At 46.4% G+C, this 27,861-nt stretch overlaps 1 pseudogene, besides 2 other annotated features; it reads left to right on the top strand.

The window, feature by feature from the left end:
- Window positions 19,350-19,849: an enhancer, noted in NCBI's record as "H3K4me1 hESC enhancer chr17:16785977-16786476 (GRCh37/hg19 assembly coordinates)". NCBI's record gives its function as "activates a minimal SCP1, AML or CMV promoter by ChIP-STARR-seq in primed H9 embryonic stem cells {active_cell/tissue: H9 hESC(primed)}" and the evidence as "EXISTENCE:reporter gene assay evidence [ECO:0000049][PMID:30033119]".
- LOC101929105 (uncharacterized) lies at window positions 19,900-22,255 on the top strand (annotated as a pseudogene).
- Window positions 22,008-22,672: an enhancer, noted in NCBI's record as "H3K27ac-H3K4me1 hESC enhancer chr17:16783154-16783818 (GRCh37/hg19 assembly coordinates)". NCBI's record gives its function as "activates a minimal SCP1, AML or CMV promoter by ChIP-STARR-seq in primed H9 embryonic stem cells {active_cell/tissue: H9 hESC(primed)}" and the evidence as "EXISTENCE:reporter gene assay evidence [ECO:0000049][PMID:30033119]".

The following is a 27,861-nucleotide window of genomic DNA, read 5'->3' as shown; positions in this document are numbered from 1 at the left end:
GCCCATGCCTATGTCCTGAATGGTATTGCCTAGGTTTTCTTCTAGGGTTTTTGTGGTTTGGGGTTTTACATTTAAATCTTTAATCCATCTTGAGTTAATTTTTTTATAAGGTGTAAGGAAGGGGTCCAGTTTCAGTTTTCTGCATATGGCTAGCCAGTTTTCCCAGCACCATTTATTACAGAGGGAATCCTTTCCCCATTGCTTGTTTTTGCCAAGTTTGTTGAAGATCAGATGGTTGTAGATGTGTCTTGTTATTTCTGAGGTCTCTGTTCTGTTCCATTCGTCTATACCTCTGTTTTGGTACCAGTATCATGCTGTTTTGGCTACTGTAGCCTCGTAGTATAGTTTGAAGTCAGGTAGCATGATGCCTCTGGCTTTGTTGTTTTTGCTTAGGACTGTCTTGGCTATACAGGCTCTTTTTTGGTTCCATATGAAATTTAAAGTAGTTTTTTTCTAATACCGTGAAGAATGGCAATGGTAGTTTGATGGGCATAGCACTGAATCCATAAATTACTTTGAATTTATGACCTAAGTATGACCAGTTTCACGATATTGATTCTTCCTATCTATGAGGATGGAATGTTTTTCCATTTGCTTGTGTCTTCTCTTATTTCCTCGAGCAGTGGTTTGTAGTTCTCGTTGAGGAGGTCCTTCAAGTCCCTTGTAAGTTGTATTCCTGGGTATTTTATTCTCTTTGTAGCAATTGTGAATGGGAGTCCATTCATGATTTGGCTGTCCGCTTGTCTATTACTGGTGTACAGGAATGCCTGTGATTGCTACACATTGATTTTGTATCCTGAGACTTTGCTGAAGTTGCTTATCAGCTTAGGGAGTTTTGGGGCTGAGATGATGGGGTTTTCTAAATACAGAATCATGTCATCTGCAAACAGAGACAATCTGACTTCCTCTCTTGCTATTTGAATACCCTTTATTTCTTTGTTTTGCCTGATTGCCCTGGCCAGTACTTCCAATGCTATGTTAAATAGGAGTAGGGAGAGAGGGGATCCTTGCCAGACTTATCTTTAAAGAAAGTATTTACAAAACACCTATCTGAAGAAGAACTTGCATGCAAAATATACCAAGAACTTGCAAAATTCGAAAGTAAGAAAATAAACTACATTTAACAAATGGACAAATATATGTAGCAATACCTCCCAATAGTAAATATTCTGATGGAAAATCAGCATATAAAGACATGGTGAACACTAGGGAATTAGGAGAAAAAAGTAATGCACTGTACGCTACGGAAAGCAAATTCAAACAGCAATGAGATAGACAGCCTATACATCGATTAGGACAGTTCTATAAACAACAAACAAGCAAAAGCCAGCACTACCAATCCTTGGCGAGGATACAGAACAGGAACTCTCCTTCATTACTGGGGAGACTGCATAATGGCATAGCCACTTCACAAGATAGCACGGCATGTTATTGCAAAGGAAACTGCAGCATCACATAGTGTGCAGCAACCGTGCCCCTACACATCTACCCAACTGGTGTGAAAACACATCCACACACAAACCAATAAGAAAATACACACAGCAGCTTTATTCACAATGACGAAAACCTGGAAGGAATCAAATCATCCTTCAGTGAACACACAACCAAACTGTGTCACTTGTAACCCAAGGCAGGAACAGGTGATGGAGACACATGAGACCTTTAGGGTGCAGCAGAGGAAATGGGGACAGACACATGAGAAGGCAGCACTGCAGCCACAAGGATTTCAGATACAAAAGGAAGACACTGACCACAGGCACATGGTATGGCAGCACTTGAGGACAGATATGCCTGCAGGCACAGGGCAGCTGGGGAATGAAGACACTTGAGGATGGATATGGACCTCTAGGTGATGAGTGAAGACCCAGGTATCCTGACATGGGCCACATGGACAAGGAATGGATACAAATGAGGGAAGACATGGGCTACATGCAGAGGGACCAAAGACAAATGAAGACTGGCATGGGAGGCAGGCGCAGGGGAAGGAGACAATCTAGGCAAGATCTGTACTGCAGGCTGAGAGGACGGCAAAACCTGACAACACACAAGGGCAGACATGGAGAGAACCTGCAGATCAGGCACTGGGATGGAGATGCACAAAGCATGGCATGTGTGCAGGGACACAGGGATGAAGACATTGGGAGACAGACAGTGCTGCAGGCACAGGGGTTGGAAACAGCTGAGTGCATACAGGAGATGCTTAGATCAGAGCTTAGTGGAAACATACACCCTAAGTGAGGATGTCAGAAAAGACAGACTGAAAATCAATCATCTCAGCTCCCTTCTCAGGGATCAAAGCTAAGGAACAATCAAACTGGAAGTATACCGAATAAAGGCAATAAAAAACATAACAGCAGACATCAATAAATAAAAAATAAAGCACAACAAAAACAAATCAACAAATAACATCAATAAACCATTAGTCAATGTGATTAGGAAAAAGAGAAGTTAACACAAACCATCAATATCAGAAATCAACACAGACACATTCTTCACTGAGCCTGTGGACCTTAACAAGAACTTAAGAGGACTTTGTGAAATATGAGGGTCTAAAAATTCAACAGAGAACAAAATGCACCACATTTAAAAACCAACTTACCCAAACTGACCCAAACATAACATGAAATAGAAAAACTCCTAGTCTACTAAACAAATTGAATAAATTCTTGGAAAAAAAAATCAAACCAACAAACAAAAATGTTCCAGAAGTAAAACTCCCAGCTCATAATTATGGAATAGTCCATACAAAGAAAAACACTAAAATGAAAATAAAGATAATATTTAAAAAATTTTTTGTGTAGCTGGCATTACATTGAGGACACAATTGGACCAGGACACATTATGGAACACAAATGAATAAAATTATGTCACCTCTTTCATAAACAGTGTGTATCTCCTTTTTAATAAACAGAGCTGGGGCCGGGCGCGGTGGCTCACGCCTGTAATCCCAACACTTTGGGAGGCTGAAGTGGGTGGATCACAAGGTCAGGAGATCGAGATCATATTGGCTAACACGTGAAACCTCATCTCTACTAAAAATACAAAAAAAAAAAATTACCCGGGCATGGTGGTGGCCGCCTGTAGTCCCAGCTACTTGGGAGGCTGAGGCAGGAGAATGGCGTGAACCCGGGAGGCGGAGCTTGCAGTGAGCCAAGATCTCACCACTGCACTCCAGCCTGGGCAACAGAGCAAGAGTCCATCTCAAAAAAAAAAATAAAAATAAATAAATAAATAAATAAACAGAGCTACAAATATTCTAAGCAAAATATTATATGAATGAAGCCACCTATGAAAACATACTAGATCAATACTAAATGGAATATACACCAAAATGCAAGGTCCTTACCATTCAAAATAAATCATGTAAGTCATCCCATTAGCAGAAAAATACAGGAGAAAATAGTAAGATCATTCAGCTGAAAAGTTTTTTAAAGCATTTAATAAAATTTAAAACTGAGCCACAAACACACACAAAAAAACTTGAGTAAAACATAAAAAGAGGATGGGCCAGGCACAGTGGCTCACACCTGTAATCCCAGCACTTTGGGAGGCCGAGGCGGGCAGATCATCTGAGGTTGGGAGTTAGAGACCAGCCTGACCAACATGGAGAAACCGGGTCTCTACTAAAAATACAAAATTAGCTAGGCGTTGTGGCACATGCCTGTAATCCCAGCTACTCGGGAGGCTGAGGCAGGAGAACTGCTTGAACCCGGGAGGCAGAGGTTGCGGTGAGCCGAGGTTGTGCCATTGCACTCCAGCCTGGGTAACAAGAGCAAAACTCTGTCTCAAAAAAATTAAAAATAATAAAAAAAAGAAGGCAACTTCCAGCCGGGCATGGTGGCTCATGCCTGTAATCCCAGCATTTTGGGAGGAGAGGCAGGGGGATCACCTGAGGTCACGAATTCAAGACCAGCCTGGCCAACATGGTGAGTCCCCGTCTCTACTAAAAATACAAAAATTAGCCAGGCATGGTGGTGGGTGCCTGTAATCCCAGCTACTCGGGAAGCTGAGGCAGGAGAATAGCTTGAACCTGGGAGGTGGAAGTTGCAGTGAGCTAAGATCGAGCCATTGTACTCCAGCCTGGGCGACAAGAGCGAGATTCCATCTCAAAGAAAAAAAAAAAAAAGCAACTTCCTTAATTTGATGAAATCTGATAAAGTCTAATACTAGCCAATAACATATAACATAATTAACAGAGAATTATGGGAAGCTTTTTCCACCAGTGCAGGACAAGATAAAGATGCCTGCTATCACTCTTTAATCAGCATTGTAGTGGAGAAACAATACAGTAAGAAACAGAAAGGTATTAGGATTAATTTTTAAACCAAAAAATTTGTCATATGTGTATATGACACTATTACATGCCTAGACAATCCCTGAAAACCCCAAAACTGTTACAATTAATAACTTACTGGATACATTATTGTTATCAACCAGATTACTATATACTAGTATGAAACCAGTAGAAAATAATGATCAAACTAGAGAACAAGTATCTATGACAAAAATGAGCCAATAAAGGATCAATTTGCAGATTTAAGATAAATCCTTCAAATCAATATTAAAAAAAGGACCCTACAAAAACACGCACAAAATGAACAAAGCATATGAAGAAAAGTAAGGCATAGAAGCCGATAAACGTTTGCTAAACTCTACCTCACACAAAACCCGCCACTGCAAGTTCCAGGTGACAGGATCCCTGCAGAAACACTGCAGGGCAGGATCCCAGGAGGCAGGACCACCAGGGAAGTGATGGAGCCCCTGCAGTGGGGAGGTCTCAGGCCCAAGAGGGCCAGGTGGCTCCAGACCTCCTGCTCCAGCTTCCCCTTACTCCCCACATCAGGCACAGCCCCACGTGAGTGCCCCGATGCAGGGAGGATTCTGACTGTCCATGTCTTCTCTGCCACTGTGCAGCCTGCTGAATGGCAGCCTCCTTGCCCATTACGTCGTTCCAGGCTTCCCTTTCATGGGTCACCTTCTCCCTCCCAACACAATGCCAGAATCCACCCCAGGAGGATAGGGACCGGGAACCAAACTATGGCACCATGAATGGAGACCCTGCAGGCAGACATGGGTGTAGGCACAGAGTGGAAACATGCTAGGCCTGGCCGACGGGTGACAAGCACAGAGGATGGGGACATTCAAGGGCAGACATGGGCTGCAGTCACAGGAGAGAAGACCTGGGCTACAGTCACAGGGGATCCAGACAAAAAGGGAGCTCACTGGCTACAGCTGCATGGCAGAGAGGCACACCAGGGACAGACATAGGTACAGGTGCAGGACAGAGGAGTAGGTGAAGGTTGGCGTGGGCAGGGGGCACAGAGATAAAGACACCCGAAGGTAGATGTGGCTGTAGGCTGAAGGGTGGAGTCACAAGAGTCCTAATGTGGACTGCATGGACAAGGGCTGGAGACACAGGAAGACAGGCATGGGAAGCAGGCACACTCAATGACAGGCCTCTGCTGCAGTAACAACAGACGGAGGTACTCCACGAAAGAGACTGGCTGCAGGTACAAACACTGGGGATAGGAGTTTTGGGCATAGTCTCCTGGGAGAAATGATCCAGAAAAAGGACAGAAATGGGCTGAAGGCACAGGGGAAGGAGACACACAAGTGCAGACATGGCCCAAAAAGCATGGATGAAAACACTGACTGTGGACATGGATTAGGGGGACAGAGAATGTAGCAAACATAAGCTGGCATGGGCAGAAGCTCAGGGGACCGACAGACAAAAACATCAGAATGGGCTGCAAACACAGGGATTGAGGCACTGGAGGACTGCTACTGCCTGAAGGCTAAGGAGATGGCAACATTCAAGGCAAGCAATGTGCTGCAAGCACACAGGATGGAGACTCACACAGCTGGCACGGGCTGCAGGAGCAAGAAATGGAGACTTCTGACAGGGGGCATAAAGTGCAGGCAGAGGACAGACCAGGTGACAATACACAAGGGCAGACGTGGGCTTCAGTCATTACGGGATGGTGATACTGGTGAGAAGATACAGGCTTCAGGCACAAGGATGGAGACACACAAGGCCTGACATGGCTGTAGGCGATACAGGGTGGAGACACTGGGAGGTCAACGCGGCTGCAGACACAGGGTTTGGAAACACCTGACAGAAAATGTGGGCTGCCAGATAAATCCCTGCTTAGAGAGAAATTTACGCCTCAAAGGAAATTGTTAGAATAGAGAACAAGATTGACAATCAATCACATAAACTCCCTTCTCAAGAATTAAAAACGATCAAAATGAAAGAATGCAGCGTTAAAGTAATAAAGAGCAGACATCAATGAAATAGGAAAAAAATGCAACAGAAACAAATCCAGGATAAAAGTTGGTTTACAGGGTCGGGCGCGGTAGCTCATGCCTGTAATCCCAGCACTTTGAGAGGCCGAGGTGGGCGGATCACGAGGTCAGGAGATCAAGACCATCCTGGCTAACACAGTGAAACCCCGTCTCTACTAAAAAATACAAAAAATTAGCCGGGCAGGGTTGCGGGCGCCTGTAGTCCCAGCTACTCGGGAGGCTGAGGCAGGAGAATGGCCTGAACCTGGGAGGCGGAGCTTGCGGTGAGCCGAGATTGCACCACTGCATTCCAGCATGGGTGACAGAGTGAGACTCCGTCTCAAAAAAAAAAAAACGTTGGTTTATAAATATTAATACACTTAAGAAACCACTAGTGAAACTAACTAAGGCAAAGAGAAAAGACACAAAAAACCAGTATCGGGAATCAAAAGAGAAGCCTGCTCTACAGAGCAGTATATTAAGACACTAGGAGGGTTCTGTGAAATACTTAGGACTACAAGTTTGACAACAGAAATTCAAATAACATCACATTGAAAAATAAACTTCCTAGGCCGGACATGGGGGCTCACGCCTGTAATCCCAGCACTTTGGGAGGTCGAGGAAGGTGGATCACCTGAGGCCAGGAGTTCGAGACCAGCCTGGCCAACATGCTGAAAACCCGTCTCTACTGAAAAATACAGCTGGGCACTGTGGCTCACACCTGTAATCCCAGCACTTTGGGAAGCTGAGGCAGGTGGATCACGAGGTCAGGAGTTCGAGACCAGCCTGGCCAACATAGTGAAACCCCCTGTCTACTAGAAACACAAAAATTAGCCGGGCGTGGTGGCACGCACCTGTAATTCCAGCTACTCAGGAGGCTGAGGCTGGAGAATTGCTTGATTCCAGGAGGCGGAAGTTGCAGTGAGCTGAGATCGCGCCACCGCACTCTAGCCTGGGAGACAGAGCGAGACTCTGTCCCCCAAGAAATAAAAATAAAAATAAAAATAAACTTACTAAAATGGACACAGAAATAACATAAAACAAGAAAACTCCTACATATACCAAAGGATTTGAATTATTAGAAGTCAAACCAGCCAACAAAAATACTGTTCCACATGGAAAATTCCATACCTAAAGAAATATTCCAAATATTTAAGGCAGAAAACACCTAAATTTCTCAGACTCTTCCAAAGAGAAGAAATACAGGAAATATTTTTCAGTTTGTTTTGTGAAGCCAGCATTACGTTGACACCACAATCTGAAGACGACATTAGAAAAAAAAATATAGGCCCTCTCTTTCATTAACAGAAATACAAATATTCTAAAAAAAAAAATCATATGAATTAAACCACATATGGAAATGTAACACATGGTTACCAAGTGGGATATACTAAAAAATGCAGGATTGGTTAACATCCAAAAATAGTTCATGTAAAATATCCTATTTTCAGAAAAATAGGAGAAAAACATATGATTTACAGTTTATGTTAAAAAAGCATTTATTCAAATTCAACAATTAGTCATAAATAACTCAGCGTATGTAAAAGAAGGCAGCTTCCTTAATCTGATTAAGTTTGTCTAAAATGAAATTATAGCAAACTACATAAGGAATACAGGATCACTGAAACCTTTTCCCTGGAATCAGAACCAGACACACCGTGTTCAGGAGGTGTGATCGGGACAATAAAAGAAGAAAATAAAGAAAAATAAAGGTGTAAGAACCAACGTTTAAGCAATATAGCTGTTACTATATGTGGCTGACACTAAGTACATAAGTATTTAAGTACGTAAGTATTTAAATACATAAGTACATAACTACAGGTACATAAGTACATGAAAAACCCACCACAATCCAAAAATGATGGCTATGAATATGTGAATTAAGCCAGGTAACACGATACAAAATCAATCTATAAAATCAATTAGATTCTTATTGATTTTAGCAAGAAAGAAATGTGAAATAAAATTAAGGTACAACGACCAGACTAAAACAAGAAACAACTATCTGCACTAGAAATGACCCCATAAAGGATTAATTTATAGAATACCTTTTTAAATTCTTCAAATCAACGTAAGAACACAAATAACCCAACAGAAAAACCAGCACTGAAAATGAAGACAAAGACGCAAAGGCCAATAAATATTCACAAACCGTGGCTTCACTAACTTATTTCCAGTTCCAGATGACGGGAGGCCCTCAGGGACCCAGAAGGCAGGACCACAGGGAGGTGACAGCGCCAGCAGCAGGAGGGCGGGCCGAGAAGCCCGAACCCTGGCGCTCCTGGCCCCTGCACACGCTTCCCTCCCTCCACCCCGTTCCTCTCTCTCTCTCTGTGCCTTGGGCCCCGTGGGATGCGCTCACATCCAGACTCACCAGGCCCGAGACGTTGGGAGAATGGAGAAGTGCTTGCTAACCGAAAGTCCTCCAGGAACACGTGAAGGACACTTCCTCTGCACCTGGGAACACCCTTCCCTGCTGCTGGCCTCAAGGCAGGCGCGCCGCACACGCTTCCGGTCCATGACGACCACAGCGCAGAGCAGCACGCGAGCCCAACCTCCACGAAGAGAAAATGGCAGAATGGGCCTTCGCCTCCCTTTTACAGTGGCTGTACTCAACCGCTGTATCTTGGAAGCTTGGTTCTGATTGGGTGAGAAGGAACTTTTTTTGACAACTCTTATTGGATAATAGTCTCCTGCTCTGACTGGATAATCTTAACTAATCAGAGTTGGAGACTTATCCAATCTGTGTTGTAGTACAGAGTCTGCTCTCATCCTATCAGAAAGAGGCTTCCAGGATATGTCATTTGAATACAGACATTATAAAAGGGAGGCAAAGATCTGCACCTGCCGTGGAGGTTGGGCTCATGTGCTCCTCTGCATTGGAGTTAGCTACGGAGCATGTGCAGAACACTTGCCTCGTAGGCCAGCCGTACAGAAGGATGTCCCAGGTGCAGGCGAAGTTTTGTTCATGTGTTCCTGGAGGAATTTTCCCGTGGCAAGCGCTTCTCCATCCTCCAGCATCTCAGGCCTGGTGAGTCTGGATGTGACCGCTTTCTATGGGGGCCCCAGGCACAGAAAGATGCAAAGGAGGGTGGATGGAAGGGGAACGTGGGCAGGGCCCAGAGAGCATCAGGTTGCCTGTTTCACCAGGCACCCCTGCTCCGGTGCAAGGCAGAGGCCGACCAGGCCCCCACCCAGCGCCCCTCCTGGGCTCTGGCCCTGGCACCTAGACCCATCCCGCCATTCTCCGCAGCTCCACTGCCCGCAGGCAGGAGCTGCCGGCGTGGAACCTGCGGGCTGCAGTGAGCAGTGGAGGCAGTAGCCGCTGCTCCCTGGATTCCCGGGATGTTTTTCTTTGGCTTTTTTCTTTTTCTATTTTATTTTAGATTCAGAAGGTACATGTGCTTGTTTGTTATATGTATATCACATGCACAATGGGGGGGTTGAACTTCTAGCATACCCATCACCCAAAAATATTGGAGGTTGTACCCAGTAGGTACGTTTTCAACTCTTCCCCCCAACTTTTTGAGTCCCCAGAGTATATTCTCTCCATCTTCATGTCCATGTGTACCCATTGTTCCCACTTGATACACGAGAATATGCAATATTTGGCTGTTTCTGCATTAATTCACGTAGGATAATGACCTTCAGCTGCATCTGTGTTACTGCAAAGGACATGATTTTGTTCTTTTTTATGACTGCCTAGTACTTTGTGGTGTATATGCACCACATTTTCTTTATTTAATGAACCGTTGGTGGATACTTACCTTGGTTCCATGACCTTGCTATTGTAAGTTATGCTGCGATAAACATGGGAGTGCAGTGCCTTTTTATATAATGATTTCTTTCCCTTTGGGTAGATACCCAGTAGTGGGATTGCTGGGTGGAAAGGTAGTTGTACTTTTAGTTCTTTGAGATACCTCCCTACTTTTTCCATAGAAGTTGAACTAATTGACATTCCCACCAACAATGTATGAGCATTCCCGTGTCTGGAAGAGTTTTCCCAGGTTTTCTCCCAGGATCTTTATAGTTTTAGGTCTTACATTTAGGCCTTTAATCCATCTTGAGTTAATTTTTGTACAGGTGAGTGAGAGGGGTCCAGTTTCGTTCTTATGCATATGGTCAGCCACTATTCCCAGAACCACTTAGTGAATAGGGTGTCCTTTCCACGTTAAGTGTTTTGAAGAGCCATTGGCTGATTTTTTTCCTAGCATTATTTCTTGAGCAAAATCCTTCAGTAGAATGTTGATGGAAGTGGTCAAAGTGATTACTCATGTATTGTTCCCAATCTTATGGAGTAAACATTCTTTACCCACTAACTTAGTTTAGGATGTTTATTGTAGGTTTTCTTAGATGCCCTTGACCAGATTGTGGAAGTACTCTTCAATTTCTAGTTTGGTTAGGGTTTTAATCATATGATGGATTTAGCCAAATGCTTTTTTTCCTGTGTCAATCAGATTATCACATCCAAGTCTGGTGGTCAAACCTGTAGACGTGTATAGTCTTATTACACACTGGATAATGGGTCATTCTTATCTCTGCTTTGCCCATGCAGTGCACCAGCCTTCCTGTGCCCGTTGATGGACTGAGAGGAAGATGAGCCCTTAGGATGCCTGCCATGCTCACTGTTAAGGTAGGACTCATCCTTCTCCCATGAGCACCAGTGTTTCTCCTGCCCGTCTCTCAGTGACCATTTCCTATCATTGGCCTGGACGTTCTGGCACTTCAGTTCCCTAACTGAAGGTCTCACCCCACCAAGTTCTTTCCACGGAAGTAGGTCATGCCTACTGAGAACCTTTACAGCTCCCCAGACTCCTCCAGGTGGTCAGTACCTCATAATATCACCCAAGGAAGGCACAGAGGGGATCTGCCCAGTTAATAGAGCTTGTGTTCTGAAACCCACCATCTCACCTTTTAACTCACCAATGGCCCTTTCTCAAGGCCAGGGAAAGGAATGAAGGCTCATTGCTAAAAACCGCAACCTCAACAAGGCTGTACTTCCTTTTAGAGTCCCCTTACCCAGCATTGTCATTGTCTTGGAAGAAGTTCAGAATGCTTCTCCCTCTTGGTTTTGTTACTGACCTGGCAAACATGTTCTATTGTGTCTATTGTGAAGAAGATCAGGTGCAGTTCACCTTCAGATTTGAAGGCTGACAGTACACCGTTAGGAGGCATCTGATGGACTACCTCAACAATCCTCTGCTGGCTCAAGGTTGCATTGACTAGATCTAGCTACCCTCTGACTGCCACCTGATGTCCACTTGTGGCACTATGTGGATAATGTCCTTCTGCCCGATAACAAAGAGGGAGAGGTTCAATGGGCCCTCATATTGACAACTAACCACACAACTCAATGGGGATGAGCCATCGTCCCACATGATACAACAGCCTGCCATTTCCATCAAATTGTGGGGCTATATTTACTTATTTTTTTGGATGTAAAATGTTAGTTTTATAAGAAGAATGGAATTTAAACTGGCATTGTTTAAATGTGGAGTATCCAAATTCAACAGTCTGTACTCATTGATTTCTTCCAAAAACAAAAATTTAAGGGGCAGGCCTGAACAAGTCACTAATTACTTGAAGCTATATGGTTTGCAAATGTTTTGCTCTTATTTCAGTACAGTTTCATATAATGGGATGGGATTTTTCCAAAACTGATACACTATAAATCTCAGTGGACATGCTAGTATCCTTTCAATAAATTTGCATTTCAATAATAAGGACAATATCCAAGTATTATATACAGAAGGCTAAGAAACAGAAGAAATTGCCAGACTATATTATTCAAAACATCAAGAAACTGACGTCTGACTAATGTATTCAATCCTTGTTCTGGAGATCAACATTGTGAATGCATGAATTTCTAAGGGAAAATTTTAAAATTATAATTTACTCATATTATAAATTTTGATGTTGAGAAAATTAGTTTTTGGAATAAATCTTTTATTTTTGTCAAACAATAGAAGAAAAATTTCCAGCATACTAAATAGCATATGACATTATTTATGGCAAAACAAAATGATTCTAATTGATGTTTCCTTTTAAAAATCTAAAGAGTACTCATCCCTTGATCTTTCTGAATTGCCAAATATACTCCCTTAAATTAATAAAATTGAAAATGTAATTATATCAGGAAAGACAAATTATATTCTTATATTCTTTTCAACATCGTTAAGCTATTGTTACTTTTTAAAAATTTTAGTAGGTTTTTGGGGAACAGGTGGTGTTTGGTTACATGAATAAGTTCTTTAGTGGTGATTTCTGAGATTTTGGTGCACCCATCGCCTGAAGAGTCTATACTGTACCCAACGTGTAGTAGTCTCTTATCCCTCACCCTGCTCCCATCCTTTCCCCACCGAGTCCAAATTGTGAGGCTATATTTAGAGTAAGGAAGGCAGACAAAATCTACAACCAGTCAGCCTCAGGCTCGTCACCCTCAGGGTTTCCCATCTCCACCAAGAAGACCCAGGGCATCGCTGGTATTTTTGGCTTCTGGAGAAAACATATGCCAAACCTCCAGTAAGTTCAATTTTTCAGGTCACCTATGAGACATCCACCTTCACTCAGGCCCTTCTCCAGAAGAAGCTTTAAGGGTTGACCAGCAGGCAGTCCAGGAGGCTCTTCTATTGGTCCTCTGGAGGAAGGATTTGCAGATGTAGGCTTTAGGTTTCAAGAACATTGCTTTTTGACACATAGAGGCTTTAGATTACCCAATCAAGGTCTCTTCTTCCAGTGGGCTTTTGGCATAAATCCTGTGTTTAATGTGTTTGACTCTCTTGGGACAGCTGGCTGCAGCTTACCTAGCCCTCTCTGAGATGGACACTGACAGGATCCAAGCCCATCACGTTAAAAATAGATCCCCATTGTGCCTTGGATTTGGGATCCTCATCTTTGCAAACTGGGCACCACCACCGACCATTTCTTGCCAAGTAGAAATGGTAGTCACGGAACTGAGCCAAGCCCGAACGCTTAGGAGTTTCAGTGCCTCATGAGGATTTCAGTCTCTGCTCCTCCAGTGTGCCTGAGGAAGATCTCCAATAAACAGCTACCACTCAGCCTTTGGTTAGTTGGGGCCCTTCCACCAGCTGGGGGGCCATCACATTGTTGCAGCAGGGGTATGCCTGCTTCACTGATGGGGCATGCAGAGGTGCCATCTGGGTAGCTACTAGCCGTCCTTCTGCTTCAGACACCCCCTTCCAGCTGCAGAGGAAGGGTCATTCAGCTCAGTGGGCAGAAACTACAGCCATTGTCCTGATTCTACCATCCAAGGCCATCCTGAAATCCACATCTTCACCAATTCTGGGGCCTTTGCTGATGGCTGTGGGTGGCATCACACTGGATGACCATGATCAGGCACTGGGGTGGGGTTGCTTCCCTTTGGGGGTACATTGCTGATACTTAATAATTGTGCCACTTGTTCACCATGTGTCAGCTCACAGCAGTCACCAAGATGCTGCCTCTCAATATAACCAAAAGGCAGACTGCCTTACCCACATCTCTACCCTTATAGCTGAGACTGTGGTACTTGGACCGGCTGGACCTCCTGGGCACACCTGACTTTGGGACATCTAAGCTAGGCCTGACTGTTAACTTGGATTTACATATGGGGCTTCCTTGTCCCATCCAGCTCATTTGCTTGGGCCGTCCAAGACTGGCTGCTCTGCTGATGAGACATCACTCTTTTTTCTCCCTTAGTCACATTTGGAGAGGTGACTACCCACATGCCAAGTGGCAAGTCGATTTTATTGGCCTACTCCAGCAAGGAGCAGGCCTCACCAGCTATGCTCACTATTGTTGACACTAACTCTAGCCTGCTCCTTGCTTTTCTGTTGATGTTGACAGCCCAGAAGGTCTTCTTCCTACCTCAGTCCTGACCCCTCTGTGGAACCCCCATGTCATTCAGTCCAACCAAGGTACCCATTCTACAATTGAGGTCACCCAACAGTGGGCACTGGGGAATGGCATTCACCTGGGCATTTCACCTTCCATACCAGAAGACTGCAGTGGGCTAATGGAGAGAATGTGTGGGCTGTTGGAAAAACATCCCTTCTTTGTAAACACATTGGCCACTTGACTCCTTCTTGGCACTAATGTCTGCCCCTGGTGCTGGCCCATATTAACAGCTGCCCACTGCTGCCACTACTCATCTCCACACCCAGGAGGCAAACCCGCCTTTCAGTCTTTCTGCATGGTTCTTTAGGCCAACCTGCCACCCCATTGTGGGTTAACTGGACTTTGATGCTACCACAGCCCTTGTCCTGGCCCTAGGAAAGGAATCCTTGAATCATGTTTTCCACTTACCTGTCTTCTCAGGGATGCTATCCATACCTCAGGGCCACCCACCATGGGCATTGGCATCTCAGGGTCTCCTCACCTCTCCCTGTCCAGTTACTGTTATAGGGATGGGTGTGCCACCAACCACCCTGTATTTGATCCCACTTTGAGACATGGCAGCCACCACCACCTCGCTGTCCCACTGGGGGTTCTGGAACCCGACTGCAGAATCAACCCTGCATGAGAGTGAGCTGACAGCTGGCAGACTAGAAAAATGTCCTGGCAGATGCCCTGGGAAGCACATCACCCCCTTTAGGTTTCTAGCGATAAGGTAACTTGGGCTGAATCACATTTCTGGCCTACAGACAGACATACCCCATCCTGGTTATTGCCACTGCTGCTTTTGCTTTATGTTAGTGCTTCTCATTCAGGGCCTCATCTCTATATCCTGGGCAAACCTCCTGAGGATGACTGCCATGCAATGCTCTGGACTGGGAGCCTCCCTGTTGATGTCCTCTACTGTATGGCCTGCTTACTACTAACTCCACGTTGTCTGCCACAAACCTCAGACCTGAAACTGCCCCTCCAGTGCCAATAAGCACCCCCGGGGTCATTTGTACCAAAAATACACCTGATAGTGAGGACAGGACCCTGCTCATACTGTTAAAATGCCATTTGATTAGCATCTCCAGTGTTGGAAGGAGTGCCCTGACTTCTGTTCCTACCACTGCTACTACTACTACTGTCAGCAAGCCTGTGAGCTGTGCTTCCACTTACAGCCCCAACTAGGAACTCTTGAATGGTGCCTCAGGCAGAGGCCATCCACTGGACCCAGTTCACTTCCTGGGGACCCAACTTCTTATGCTGCTTCTGGACTGGGCTGACTCAGGGTCCCATTGTCATTACACTGACTGATTCTGACTGTGCTGCCTACAAGAGTCACTCCAGATTTGACCCCCTTTTCTCACTTTGATTTTTCACCATGCAGTGCCTCCACTGCTAGATTGCCAGAATTCCAACAATTAGTTGCAACATCGGCCTCATGACACCTTCTCTCTGGCACTCGCATCTTTCCTCATGAGAAGTGGAAGCTGGGACTTCACTGCTAATTGACTCCTATCCCGTGGACTCTGCCATCTTGCTATGTGACAATGCTGCTGACTAATATCACTGCCTGATTGACCACAGGCAGCCTTCTGTGTCACAGGCCACTTTCGCTTGTAAGAAGTCTGCTTTTTTCTAACACATAGCAAGCTTCCCTTCTGGATCAGCTTCCATAAACACCTCCTCACCTTTTTTTCTTAGCTTTTCTTTGGACCCCTCTATTGCTGTGACAACTTTACAGGCTAGCGCTTTCGTGACACTCATCTAGTCCTTGAGCCCACTCAGATCTTTCCAATCTTCCAGGAACTACCTCATGCCCATGAAGCTTCTATGCCTTGTACCCCCTGGAGACTAGTTCATGCCTTTCCAGATCACATACTGATTTTTCCACCTGCTGGAAGACTCTCTCATTGTAACCATCCCTGTCGTGCACCCAGGATGGCCACACACTGACCCACCAACCATGACTACATTCCTATCCAGCAAGACCTTTACTGATGTATTTAAAACTTTAGACAAATTAAATTTCACAGATTTTAATTGAGTAGAGAATTATTCACAAATCAGGCAGCCTTCAGGACCAGAAGAGGTCAGTGCTCTGCTCCAAAGCTTGTGCAGGAGGGAGCATTTATAGACGGAAAATATAAGTGAGGTCCACAAACAGCTAGACCAGTTATGGCTTTGCATTTGCATTTATTAGGCATGATTTGATATGTTGGCAGCCTATGATTGGCTGAATCTCAGCTGCTTTTGTTGGTTGGGACTCAGCTATTTGTTACAAAAATACACTCTTAAGTTAGGCTTCAGGTTTCTTTCCATGCTAAGTTATGTTGCAGCTCCATACGTAGAGACTCAAGGTATGGAGGCAGCCTCAGGCCCCATTGAGTTTAACTCTTAGGCCACCCTTATCACTGTTTCTACAGCCTGTGCCTCCTAGAAACACTTGGCATCTCAGTTGTGCTTCGCAGCCATTCAGGATGGAAAGGATCCAAAACTTAGGGTTGATTGGGCCACCTCCAGGATCAAGCTTTTGTGCCTATGACATCACCTCCAGCACACACAGTGTGTTTAGACCTTACTGCTTAGTTCTGAGTCCTCTTGGTCCTGTCCCATTCTAGCCTGCCATTGCTCACAATGCAGCAACTCCAAGCCTACTACCACCCCGACCTTTCAACTCCTTTTACATCCCCATGGAACCATTTTTCCAAGCCTCAGTGTGCCGTGGCTTTTGCTGTCCCAGGTTTCCCAAAGTCCCTCACATAATTGTGTCTTCTGCAGGCCTATTCACCAATTACTCGGCACTCAGGTCATGGACAGTTTTTATCACAGGGTCATTTCAGACACCACCCAGTAGCCGGCCTTTTAGCTCACCAGTCATGCCTTTGCTGACATCCTGCCACCTTACGGTCAGACCCTGGTTATGACTCATTCGCTGCTCTTCCCTCACCATTGGTGAGTCTGCCTCAAGTCTGCAGCTGCACCTCACTCGCAGTATCTCCTCTAATAGGTCAGCCACCAATGGACCTACTATGCCCTCTCTGCTGATGGTGCAGTTCAGTTCCCAGCAACCGTTTCAAGGATGCCACTGATTTCTGTCTTACCATCACAATATGCCCCCCTATGAGAGACCCTCACACTATTTCTAATTTTAATTTATCTTGTGTTGTCTTCTTTGACCCATACTTTACTTACAAGCATATGTTTCAAATCTCCATGTATCTTGGGATTTTCCAGATCTTTCTGTTAACTGATTTCTAGTTTGATTCCACTGGGTATGAAAACATAGAACATATGTTTTGTGATTTCTAATTTTTTTGCATTGTTCAATGTATATTTTATGGCCTAGAATGTGGTGTATCCTGGTAAACCTTCCCTTATTCTGTTGCTGGGTGGAAGTATTCTATAGACATCTATTATATTCAGTTGATTAACCATGCTGGGGGAGTTCAACTAGGATAGTCCTGATTTTTCTGTCTGCCATGTCTGCCTATTACTGATCGAAGGTATTAAAATCTTCAACTAAAATACTGGATGTATCTAGTTCTCTTTGCAGTTCTATCAGTTTTTGCCTTGTGTTTTGATGCTCTGTCATTGGGCATATACATTGAGGCATATATGTGTACATTGATATCCGTGATTGAAAAATTGACCCTTTTAAAATTAACAAATGTTCCTGTTTATCCCTGATGAATTCCCTTGTTCTAAAGTCCCCTCTGTCTCAAAACAAGCTTTTATTTTTATTAGTCTTAGTATAGTGTATCTTTCTGTATACCTTGACTTTTAAACTATATGTGTATTTATATTTAAAGAGTGTTTCTTGAAGATGCCATACAGTTGCATTTTGTTCTTTGATTCACTCTGCATCTGTCTTTTAAGAGATGAATTTAGACCATTGATTAGTTATTGGCATAATTGGATTAATAATAAACCATATTTGTTAACCGTGTTCTATTCATGCACCTGTTCTTTGTTTCTATTTTTCCTTCTGTTACTTATCTGCCTTTTACAAAATGAGTTTATGGAAGGATTGACTTACAAAAAGCAGTAAATATTTAATATGTAAGTTGGATAGTTTTAGAGATAAGTATGTATCTGTAAAACCATCAACACAGTCTATTCTGTAAACATATCCAATAACTCCAAAATTTTCCCTGGTGCTCTTATTTATTATTATTTTATGTGATAAAAACACAACATAAAATACACCCTCTAGGCAAGTTTGTTTTTGTTTTTTTTTTTGAGACAGAGTCTTGCTCTGTCACCAGCCTAGAGTGCAGTGGTGCGATCTTGGCTCACTGCAGCCTCCGCCTCCTCGGTTCAAATGATTCTCCTGCCTCTGCCTCCTGAGTAGCTGGGACTACAGGCATGCGCCACCACGCCCAGCTAATTTTTTGTATCTTTAGTAGAGATGGGGTTTCACCATGTTGGCGAGGATGATCTCAATCTCTTGACCTCATGATCTGCCTGCCTCAGCCTCCCAAAGTGCTGGGATTACAGGCGTGAGCCACCGCACCCAGTTGCAAGTTTTTTAAGTATAAAGTACTGTAAAATTTACTGTAGGACCTATGTTGTATAATAGGTATCTAGAACTTATTCTTCTTGCACGAATAAAATTTTGCACCATTTTTTCTTTTTCTTTTTACAGCTTTATTGAGGTATAGTTGACAAACCTTGTGTGTATTTAAAGTATACAACTTTATTTTTGCTTTATTTATTTTTGCTCTAATCTTTTTATTTATTTCCTTCTACTAAGTCTAAGGTGAGTGTTGTTGACAGCATATCATTGGACCTTCGTTTTCTATCTTTTTGGACAATCTGTTGATGCATTTGATCTATTTGCATGCAAAGTAATTATTTATACTTAAGACTTACTATTGCCACTTGGTTAATGATGTTCTGTTCAGCAATTTTTTTCCCTCACTTCCTGCTTTCTATCTTCCTTTGTGATTTGATTTTTTGTTTTTAGTGATATATATAGAATGATTTCTCTTTCTTTTTTGTATCTAGTGAAAGGTTTTTTTTTTTTTTTTTTTTTTTTGAGGCAAAGTCTCGCTCTGTCACCCAGGCTGAAGTGGAGTGGTACAATCTCGGCTCACTGCAACATCTGCCTTGTGGGTTCAAGCAATTCTCTGCCTCAGCCTCCTGAGTAGCTGGGATTACAGGTGCCCGCCACCACGCCCAGTTAATTTTTGTATTTTTAGTAGAGACAGGGTTTAACCATCTTGGCCAGGCTGGTCTTGAACTCCTGACCTCGTGATCCACCTGCCTTGGCCTCCCAACGTGCTGGGACTACAGGCATGAGCCACCACGCCTGGCCGAAAGTTTTTCTTTATGGTTACCATGAGGCTTGCATAAAAGTTCTTACACTTCATAGTCATCAGTTTTCAGTGGATAACCACTTAACTTTAATCACATACAAACACTGTATACTTGGTCAGATGCGGAAGCATCCTCACACTGTCCCTATGACTCTCTGCTCTGTCCTGATGGGGGGTCTGGCCTGGTGGGCTGGGCAAGACATGATGACACTGAGACCACTCCCCACATGACCCAGATGAAAGTCAGGAGTGTGGTGAGCATTTCTCTGCCTGGCCTTCCCCAGCTGTTGCCTCCTGTGCACAGCTGGACCCCGGGGTGGCCAAGAAGGACCAGGCACCACCCAGTGGGAGGTGGGCCTGGTAGAAATGGGGTACAGGCACAGATCTCCCCCACCAGGGAACCCCCCCTTGCCTGATGGCCACCCTGTCCCTAGGGCACCTCATGAAGCTTTCCTGGAGCACCGTCTGGGAGTTTCAGGAGCAACTCTCTCAGAGACGGGTCCTGGAGGACAACACCGTCCTCAGGAACCTTCAAACCTCCATGAAGGAACTCACAGGGAAACACTGGGGCCTGCCACCCCGAGGTGGGCTCCAGCATAAGGTCCCCTTCCGAGTCACCCTTTGGGGCAGTCAATGGTGGGGAGTGCCCTGGCCCCACCAGCCCTCCTACCTGGCCTTCCTCCTGCACCTCTTCTTCCTCCTCTTCCTCCTCTACTCTAAGAAAGTCAAATGGGTCTGCCGCTCCTCAGGGCAGGCGCTGAGCGCGTGTGTGTGTGTGCTGGACATGCTGTGTGGACAGGCAGGGGTCATGGGCAGGAACCCCCAACACCCCTCCCCCACTTTCCACATTGTCCCCCTCTCCTCCTTGAAGGGCCCTGAGGGACACTGGGGCAGTCAGACCCAGCTATGGAAGCCTCCACCCCCACCTTCAAGTAGCCTCAGAGAGCAGCAGGAACCCCTCATTCTTGAGTGCCCCTCCAAGGGTGTCAAGACAACAAGCCAGGGAGACAAGAGAATCAGTGTCCCTGACCCAGAGAGGATTTGGGCAGAGGGGACGGGGAAAGCCCTGACCCAGAGCCAGAAGCAAGAGTTCAGCAGGGTGTGGGATTGCTGCAGCCCTGGCATGGGGTGGATGGCCTGGAGGACAGAGGGGAACCCATGCCCATTCACTTCTCACCTGCTGTGGAGACAGGCCCCCATGCGAGGTGCTGGGTGACAGTGAAGGTTTCTTCCACCTGAGTCCTGAATTGGGGCTGCCGAACAGCCCTGAGGTGAGGGCAGGAGGCAGGAAGCCCTGAGCCAGCCTGAACCCAGGGGGCCATTCTAGGAGTGACCTGAGGTTCCCTGAAAGCTCCCCCACCCCAAGCTGCACACAGCCCTCACCCTGGGATCAGCAGCCTGCAAGGCTTCTCGGGCATCCTCAGTGTCAGGCCAGGGGGCCACACAGGGACCCCGAGGACTCCAGAGGCCCAGGTCTGTGGGGCCCGCCCTGAAGGGACCCTATGGGCTCGGTGAAGATGTTTCTTTTTTTCAGCCAAGATGCAGTGAGAGTCCTCGAGGGTGACCCCTGGCATTGGGCCCCTCTGTGAGGGGGACAGACTGGCCCTCCCCACCCCACCAGCTCAGCTCCAGGAGCTCATGCCATCAGTCCCCCTGGGACAAAAGCCTTGTTCTCCCCCAGCCTGGCCTGACAGGGCTGTCCCGAAGGCCGAGGCTGAGGCCCAGCAGCACAAGGGGGCTTCCTGAGAACCCAGGGCAGCAAGCCACTCTTTGAGGGCCCCAGAAGCTCAAGATGAGGTCAGCCTGTCCCCCGGTGAGGTCAGGCTTTGTATTACATGGAAACACTTGTCCGGGAACTCTATGCCACAGCTCCACACAGACCTGCATGTCGGGGGTCCATGTTTCCTGTGCTGCCCTTTTGAACATGGCTCCTGGGACTCTGTCACTTCAACATCTTCCATGGACCGCCCTGGAACAAAACGACAGACCCTGCCCAGCAAGCCCACTGGGACCCCGACACCAGGCCCTGCCCGGGCTTATAACAGAGAAGTGGCAGGTCAAGAGACACCCCAGCAGCAAGGTGGCATCCGCCTGTGACTCCCCTTGGTAGAAGAACTTGGAGTGGAAGGAGCCCAGGCAGCACCCGCCCAGCTGCCTTGCAGCCCCAGATGGCTGCTGGACCTTAGTTTTTACTGCTATTTTATTTTTATTTTATATTTTTGGCTTGTGGGCCTTGAGAAATCCCATTCAATGGGGGGACTTGGTCCCATCAAGGCCTCTGGAGGGAAGGCTGAGCATGGAGTTCCCACAGCCCCAGCCAACCAGCAGCATGCCCTGGGGCCCGTGACCCCACCCGTGGGTCAGAGCCCCTCCTCCAGGGCCCAAGTCCCAAGCCCAGATGGACCTGGCTTCAACCTGAGTCCGAGGAGGAGAGGGGCACTGCAGGCCTCCAGGTGACCACGCAGGGGACCAGGGCACTGAAAGCCCTGATGCTATAAGGATTCACATCAGAGAACCTGGGCAAGCCAGGCCAGAGACGCTGAGCCCGTGCAGTGATGAGGATGTAGAGGGCTGGCTCAAGGGGGTCAATAGCTGTGAACACTGCTGCCTCTTCCCGGCCTCATTGTTGCAGTGCAGGCAGTCTGCACCCCGGAGCCTGGCCCAACAGCGCCCTGAGTGTCCTAGTCCACTATGCCAACATGGCACCCGGAGGCTTCGCGGCCCTGCCTGCCGCACGACCCCTCTCCCGGAAGCCTCGTCCTACAGCCTAGCCCCTGTCTCAGCCACAGCAGGCACCACTGCCAAGAGCCTTCCAGCTGGGCTTCCCAGAGGACAGAGGTGCCCTGCAGTCATTGCCTCAGCAGCTCTGACTGTGAAGATAGTTTCATCCACATTCCCATGTTCCCACCAAAGAGAATCCTTGCAGAGGATGCTTTTGATCCTGAGGTGGGGAAAACGGCACGCCGGGTTGATGGAGTCAGCTCCTTTCCCTGGCCACCATGCCTGCCGGATAGACCCACGGACAAAATGGCCATCAGACAGGAATGAGACACAAGAGTCTCAGCATCCTGCTCATGCCCTGACCAGGCTGACCAGGCCGACACCACTGCCGAGTGCCCCATCTGCCGATGAGAGACTTGGTGTCGATCCCTGGGCTGGCACTGTTTCCCACGAGGACCGGTTGGCCACCTGTGGGCAGGCTGCCCACACTGTGGAGAAGGCTGAGATCGGCCTTCACTGCAGGGAGCCCCTACCTGGACATAGACTCGCCAGCCCTGCCTGTTGCCATCACAGCAGACCACACGGCGTTGCTTCTGACCAAGGTACCCCATTCACAGTGAGGGGCATGCAGCAGTAGCCCCTGACCAGGGAACTAACTGTTCTCACTATGTCAGCCGCCACCTGGAAGCAACTGAGCTTACGATCGCTCAGTTATGCTGAAGCGATGGTTTGTCTTACAAGATAAATGTTATGCTTTCTACTGGAAACCAGTATACAGTGCTGACTCCCCAACAGCCAGAAGGTGTAGTTCTGAGAGTGGAGGTGTGAAAGTGGACGATGTTCAGTATTGCACCGAATGTCTCAGTCACAAAGTTATCCTGCGCCTGTCCTGGAGAAATGGAGCTTTGCTGGTTGGAAGGTCTTGGGACCCAGGCAGAGTGAAGCTTCCCCCAGAGGAACACAATAATGGTTCTATTTAATATGAAGAGACAGGACTAAGTCTGAAACCCTGGGGCATTCTCTGGTGTTCTCGGTGTTTTCATGCAAAGAAAGTCAAATAACAAAAGTTTGCCACAGAGGCATCTGAAAAAGGACGGGGCACAAGTATTCAGATCTCGGAGGCTTCAGAATCAAAGATGAGGCCAAGCAGGAGACTCCTGGCCCACTGAGGGCAGGGGAAGTATGTGGGGGCTGCTAGGAGAAGACGTCATACAGGTCCACCCCCACCTTGTGGTATGTCACAGAACTGTGCACTTGAATAGCTGTGCACATCTTCTCTCCACTGATTATATTATTTCTTTCCATTTGTGACTCTCCGATCACACAGAGAGCTTGCTACAAAATGCACATTGCTGTACCATAGCCTGGGGCTTGCAGTCCAAGGCTGGCAAGAATTCCTGCACGTCAAGGGCCTCAGGTGACTTTCGTGCACATCCAAGGACAGAGTCCTTGATGACACCTTCCTGCTCAAAAAAGAAGGAACAAGGGTCAACGAACAGCGAGCAAGTCATGGAAAGAGATGAAATGTGAGTGCGTGGCCTTCCTGACACCCAGACAAAACTTTGGGCACAGAGCCAGGCTGCAGCTGTGGCCACTGACTCGGACCAGGGACGCCCCCATGCAGGCCGGTGTCCCCTGGCTGCCCTTCTTCCTCCTGCCACCCTCCCTTCGGCTGCTTGTGTCAGGAAGGGAGAACCTGCCAGTTTTCAGAAGAAAATGTAGCTTTATTATGATATAGGAAAGACTGAAGTTATTAGGGGAGGAAGAGGAGTCCTGAAACAGCTCCTGAAAATGAGAGGGAAAAGGAAGGTGTAAATATGTTGTAATAAATTCTCCAACTACAGCACAGTCATGGGAATGTTTTTGTTACAATTTTTGTTTTCAAAGTTATAGTAAACAAAACAGTTTCCTGAATTGTCAAAAGAACAGCAGTTTGACACAAGGAAAAGCATACACACCAAGCCAGAATAAATCACACTTGGGTCTATATGTTGCAATGGTGCTGGTGCAGGAGGGAACATCCAGGGAAGTTCCAGTGCCTGCCAGGCAGCCCAGGTCCACCGAGGGCCCCGGGGCTAGAGGAAGGTCACGTACCACTCAGCTCAAAGTGCTCCCTTCAGGCATCTGAAGAGGGAAAGCCCATTTATCTTCTCCGAAATGCAGGCAAATTTTCATACACTGGTGTGAATCTGTTGGGGTCACCCAGGGGCCCCCTTAATGGCCAGATGCAGTTTATCACAAACTGGTTTCCTGAATTTCATATTGGATCGGGAGCTAAAAGGAGAGATTCCCAAACCCATCATGTAAATATTTGGTTCTAACAAAGTAAAATTACAAGAGCACATCAAACACAAGACTTAATGCCCAGGGTAGTGCCCAGGCTGCCCCCCTTGGGTGAGAAGTTCTTTAGCAGCAGGCACAGAGGTAATTGCTTAGAAAGGCAATGCCACAGTGAATAAGGGCGATTAACTTGGATACAAACATTTAGAAAGATGCCTGAAAAAAACTGATGTGGCTCCATCTCTCTTCTGGATTCTAATGTTCCCAGAGCAGCAGCCACCCCTAAATGCAAGTGGAGACAGGATGGAGCCCAGGGGGACATGGGGGAGGCAGGGCTTGGCCAAACCACAGGCAGCTGCCAGAAAGGCCCACACACCTGCCTTCCACACTCTGTGGTGGACACCCCAGGAAAGACGTAACTGCCAAACAGGTTCATCTTGCCTGCAGCCTAGACAGAGCCAATTTATCAAGACAGGGGAATTGCAATAGAGAAAGAGTAATTCATGCAGAGCCAGCTGTAGGAGAGACCAGAGTTATTACTCCAATCAGTCTCCATTTGCATGATCCATCAGCATTCAGGGATCAGAGTTTGGAAGGATAATTTGGTAGGTGGTGGGGGAGGCCAGTGAGTTGGGAGTGCTGATTGCTTGGGTTGGAGATGAAATCACAGGGAGTCGAAGCTGTCTTCTTGAGCTGAATCAGTTCCTGGATAGAAGCCACAAAATCAGATGAGCCAGTTTATCAGTCTGGGTGGTGCCAGTTGATCCATCAAGTGCTGAGTTGGCAAAATCTCTCAAGCACTGATCTTAAGCTTTTTAATAGGGATGTAATTACCAGGAGCAATTTGGGGAGGGTCAGAATCTTGTAGCCTCCAGCTGCATGACTCCTAAACCATAATTTCTAATCTTGTGGCTAATTTGTTAGTCTTACAAAGGCAGTTTAGTCCCCAGGCGAGGAGGTTTGTTTTGGGAAAGGGCTGTTATCATCTTTGTTTTAAAGTATAAACTATAAACTAATAAATGTGCTTTATCAATTGGGTGTGGTGGCTCACACCTGTAATCCTAGCACTTTGGGAGGCCAAGGTAGGCAGGTAGCTCGAGCCCAGGAGTTAGAGACCAGCCTGGGCTACATGGTGAGGCCCTGTCTCTACAAAAAAATACAAAAATTAGCCAGGCATGGTGGCGTGTGCCTGTAGTCCCAGCTACTCAGGAGGCTGAGCTGGGAGGATCTTGAGCTCAGGAGGTGGAGGTGGCAGCAAGCTGAGATCACGCCACTGCACTCCAGCCTGGGTGACAGAAAGAGACCCTGTATCCAAAAAAAAAAAAAAAAAGATCATGTTTCTCCTTCATTCTTGTAATGCAGTGGATTACACTGATTGATTAGGCAGCTCTGATTTTCCAGGATAAGCTGTAAATCTTCATTCTGGTGGGAAACTTTCCTTTTTTTGTTTTTGAGATGGGATCTCTCTGTGTCGCCCAGGCTGGAGTGCAGTAGCATGATCTCAGCTCACTGAAACCTCTGCCTCCCGGGTTCAGGCGATTCTTATGCCTCAGCCTCCCAGATAGCTGGGACTACAGGCACATGCCACCACACCCGCTCATTTTTGTATTTTTTTTTTAGAGAATAGAGGGTTTTGCCATGTTGCCCAGGCTAGTCTCAAACTCCTGAACTCAAGTGACCCACCCACCTCAGCCTCCCAGAGTGCTGGGATTACAGGTGTGAGCCACCATGCCTGGCCAGAAGTCTTACTTTTAAAAATGTAGGTACAGAACACACGATTTTGTGGAAATTCTGATTTGTGGGGAAAAAATTTAGGTACAGGCCAACCATTGTTGCTCATGCCTATAATCCCAACACTTTGGGAGAATGAAGCTGGAGATCATTTGAGGTCAGGAGTTTGAGATCAGTGAGGGCAACATAACATGACCCTGTCTCTACCAAAAAAAAATCAGCGGGACATGGTGATGCATGCCTGTAATCCCAGCTATTCTGAAGACTGAGGGGAAAGGATCACTTCAGCATAGGAGGACCAGGCTGCATTGAGCTGTTATCCTGCCACTGCACTCCAGCCTGAGCAACAGAGTGAGAATCCATCTCTTAAAAAAAAAACAAAGTTCATGTGCATTAAAAAGTGGCATGGGCTTGCATGGGCCAAATCAAATTCAGCTAAAAGCCAAATTGGCCCTGGCCCAACAGTGTGAAATCACTGATCAAGGAACTCAAAGGCCCTGCCTTCCTTTTTCTCAGGAATTCCACTTCTAGGAATCCTTCCAGAAGAAATAATCCAAAAAGTGGGCAAAATTTAACACATGCACTTGAGTATCACTTTTATTTTTATTTATCTATTTTTTGTGAGACAGTTTCACTCTTGTTGCAAAGGCTGGAGTGTGACCGCGGCTCACTGCGACGTACACCTCCCGAGTTCAAGTGATTCCCCTGCCTCAGCCTCCCGAGTAGCTGGGAGTACAGGTGCCCGCCACCACGCCCAGCTAATTTTTGTATTTTTAGTAGAGACAGGGTTTCACCATGTTGGCCAGGCTGGTCTGGAACTCCTGACCTCAAGTGATCCACCTGCCTCGGCCTCCCAAACTGCTGGGATTACAGGCATGAGCCACCACACCTGGCGAGTATCACTTTTAAACCCAAAGCTGGAAAGTCTCTGAATACTCAGCAATAGGGGAAACTTAAGAATGTCATGGTCAGCCCCATAAAATGAACATTTTGCAGCCATTTAGAATGGCTTACATGAAGACTATGAAGTGTCATCAATAAATATACGTGATATCATTTTAATGATGATTGTTCAATATCACCATAATTGTCTCCTACTATGAACATACACTTTTTTCTTGTGACAAAAAGAAGAGGGGTTCCCCATGACCTTCTCTCCTGGCTGGGGTAGTGTGGCTCAACAATAGGTCATCTCCCCACTGCCCACCTTTCCTCTATTTCCAAATTTGGAATGATGTCCTGATATAACATTTCTTGGCACTTCCCACATTTGATTCACATTTGAAGCACTTGACTCTCAGGAGCACATCTCCACACACCAATTTCCCTTTGGCTGGCTGCGTGCTGGTCCACAGCCATTTGCCCTGCTGGTCCCACATAGAAGTGCTTTGGGCAGAAATCCACCCCCTGTCCCACCCATCCCTGTCTTGAATCAAAACACTTGAGTCAAAACAGTCTTGAACATCGTTTCTCACATTGCTGGCTGGCAGGGAGGCACCTGTCTCCAAGAATTCAACACCATGGACAACGGGATTCACTGGGCTGCCATTCTGACCGTTGCAACCGCAACCCTTTCTCTAAGCAGCTGGGATCACAGCCTCTTCCATTCTTCCTTCTTGTATATCATGTCATGGAGCAGATGCTA

The sequence above is a fragment of the Homo sapiens genome, chromosome 17, assembly GCF_000001405.40.
Source record: "Homo sapiens chromosome 17, GRCh38.p14 Primary Assembly".
In the NCBI taxonomy this organism is placed as follows: Eukaryota; Metazoa; Chordata; class Mammalia; order Primates; family Hominidae; genus Homo; species Homo sapiens.
This window is presented reverse-complemented; position numbering and strand designations above follow the sequence as displayed.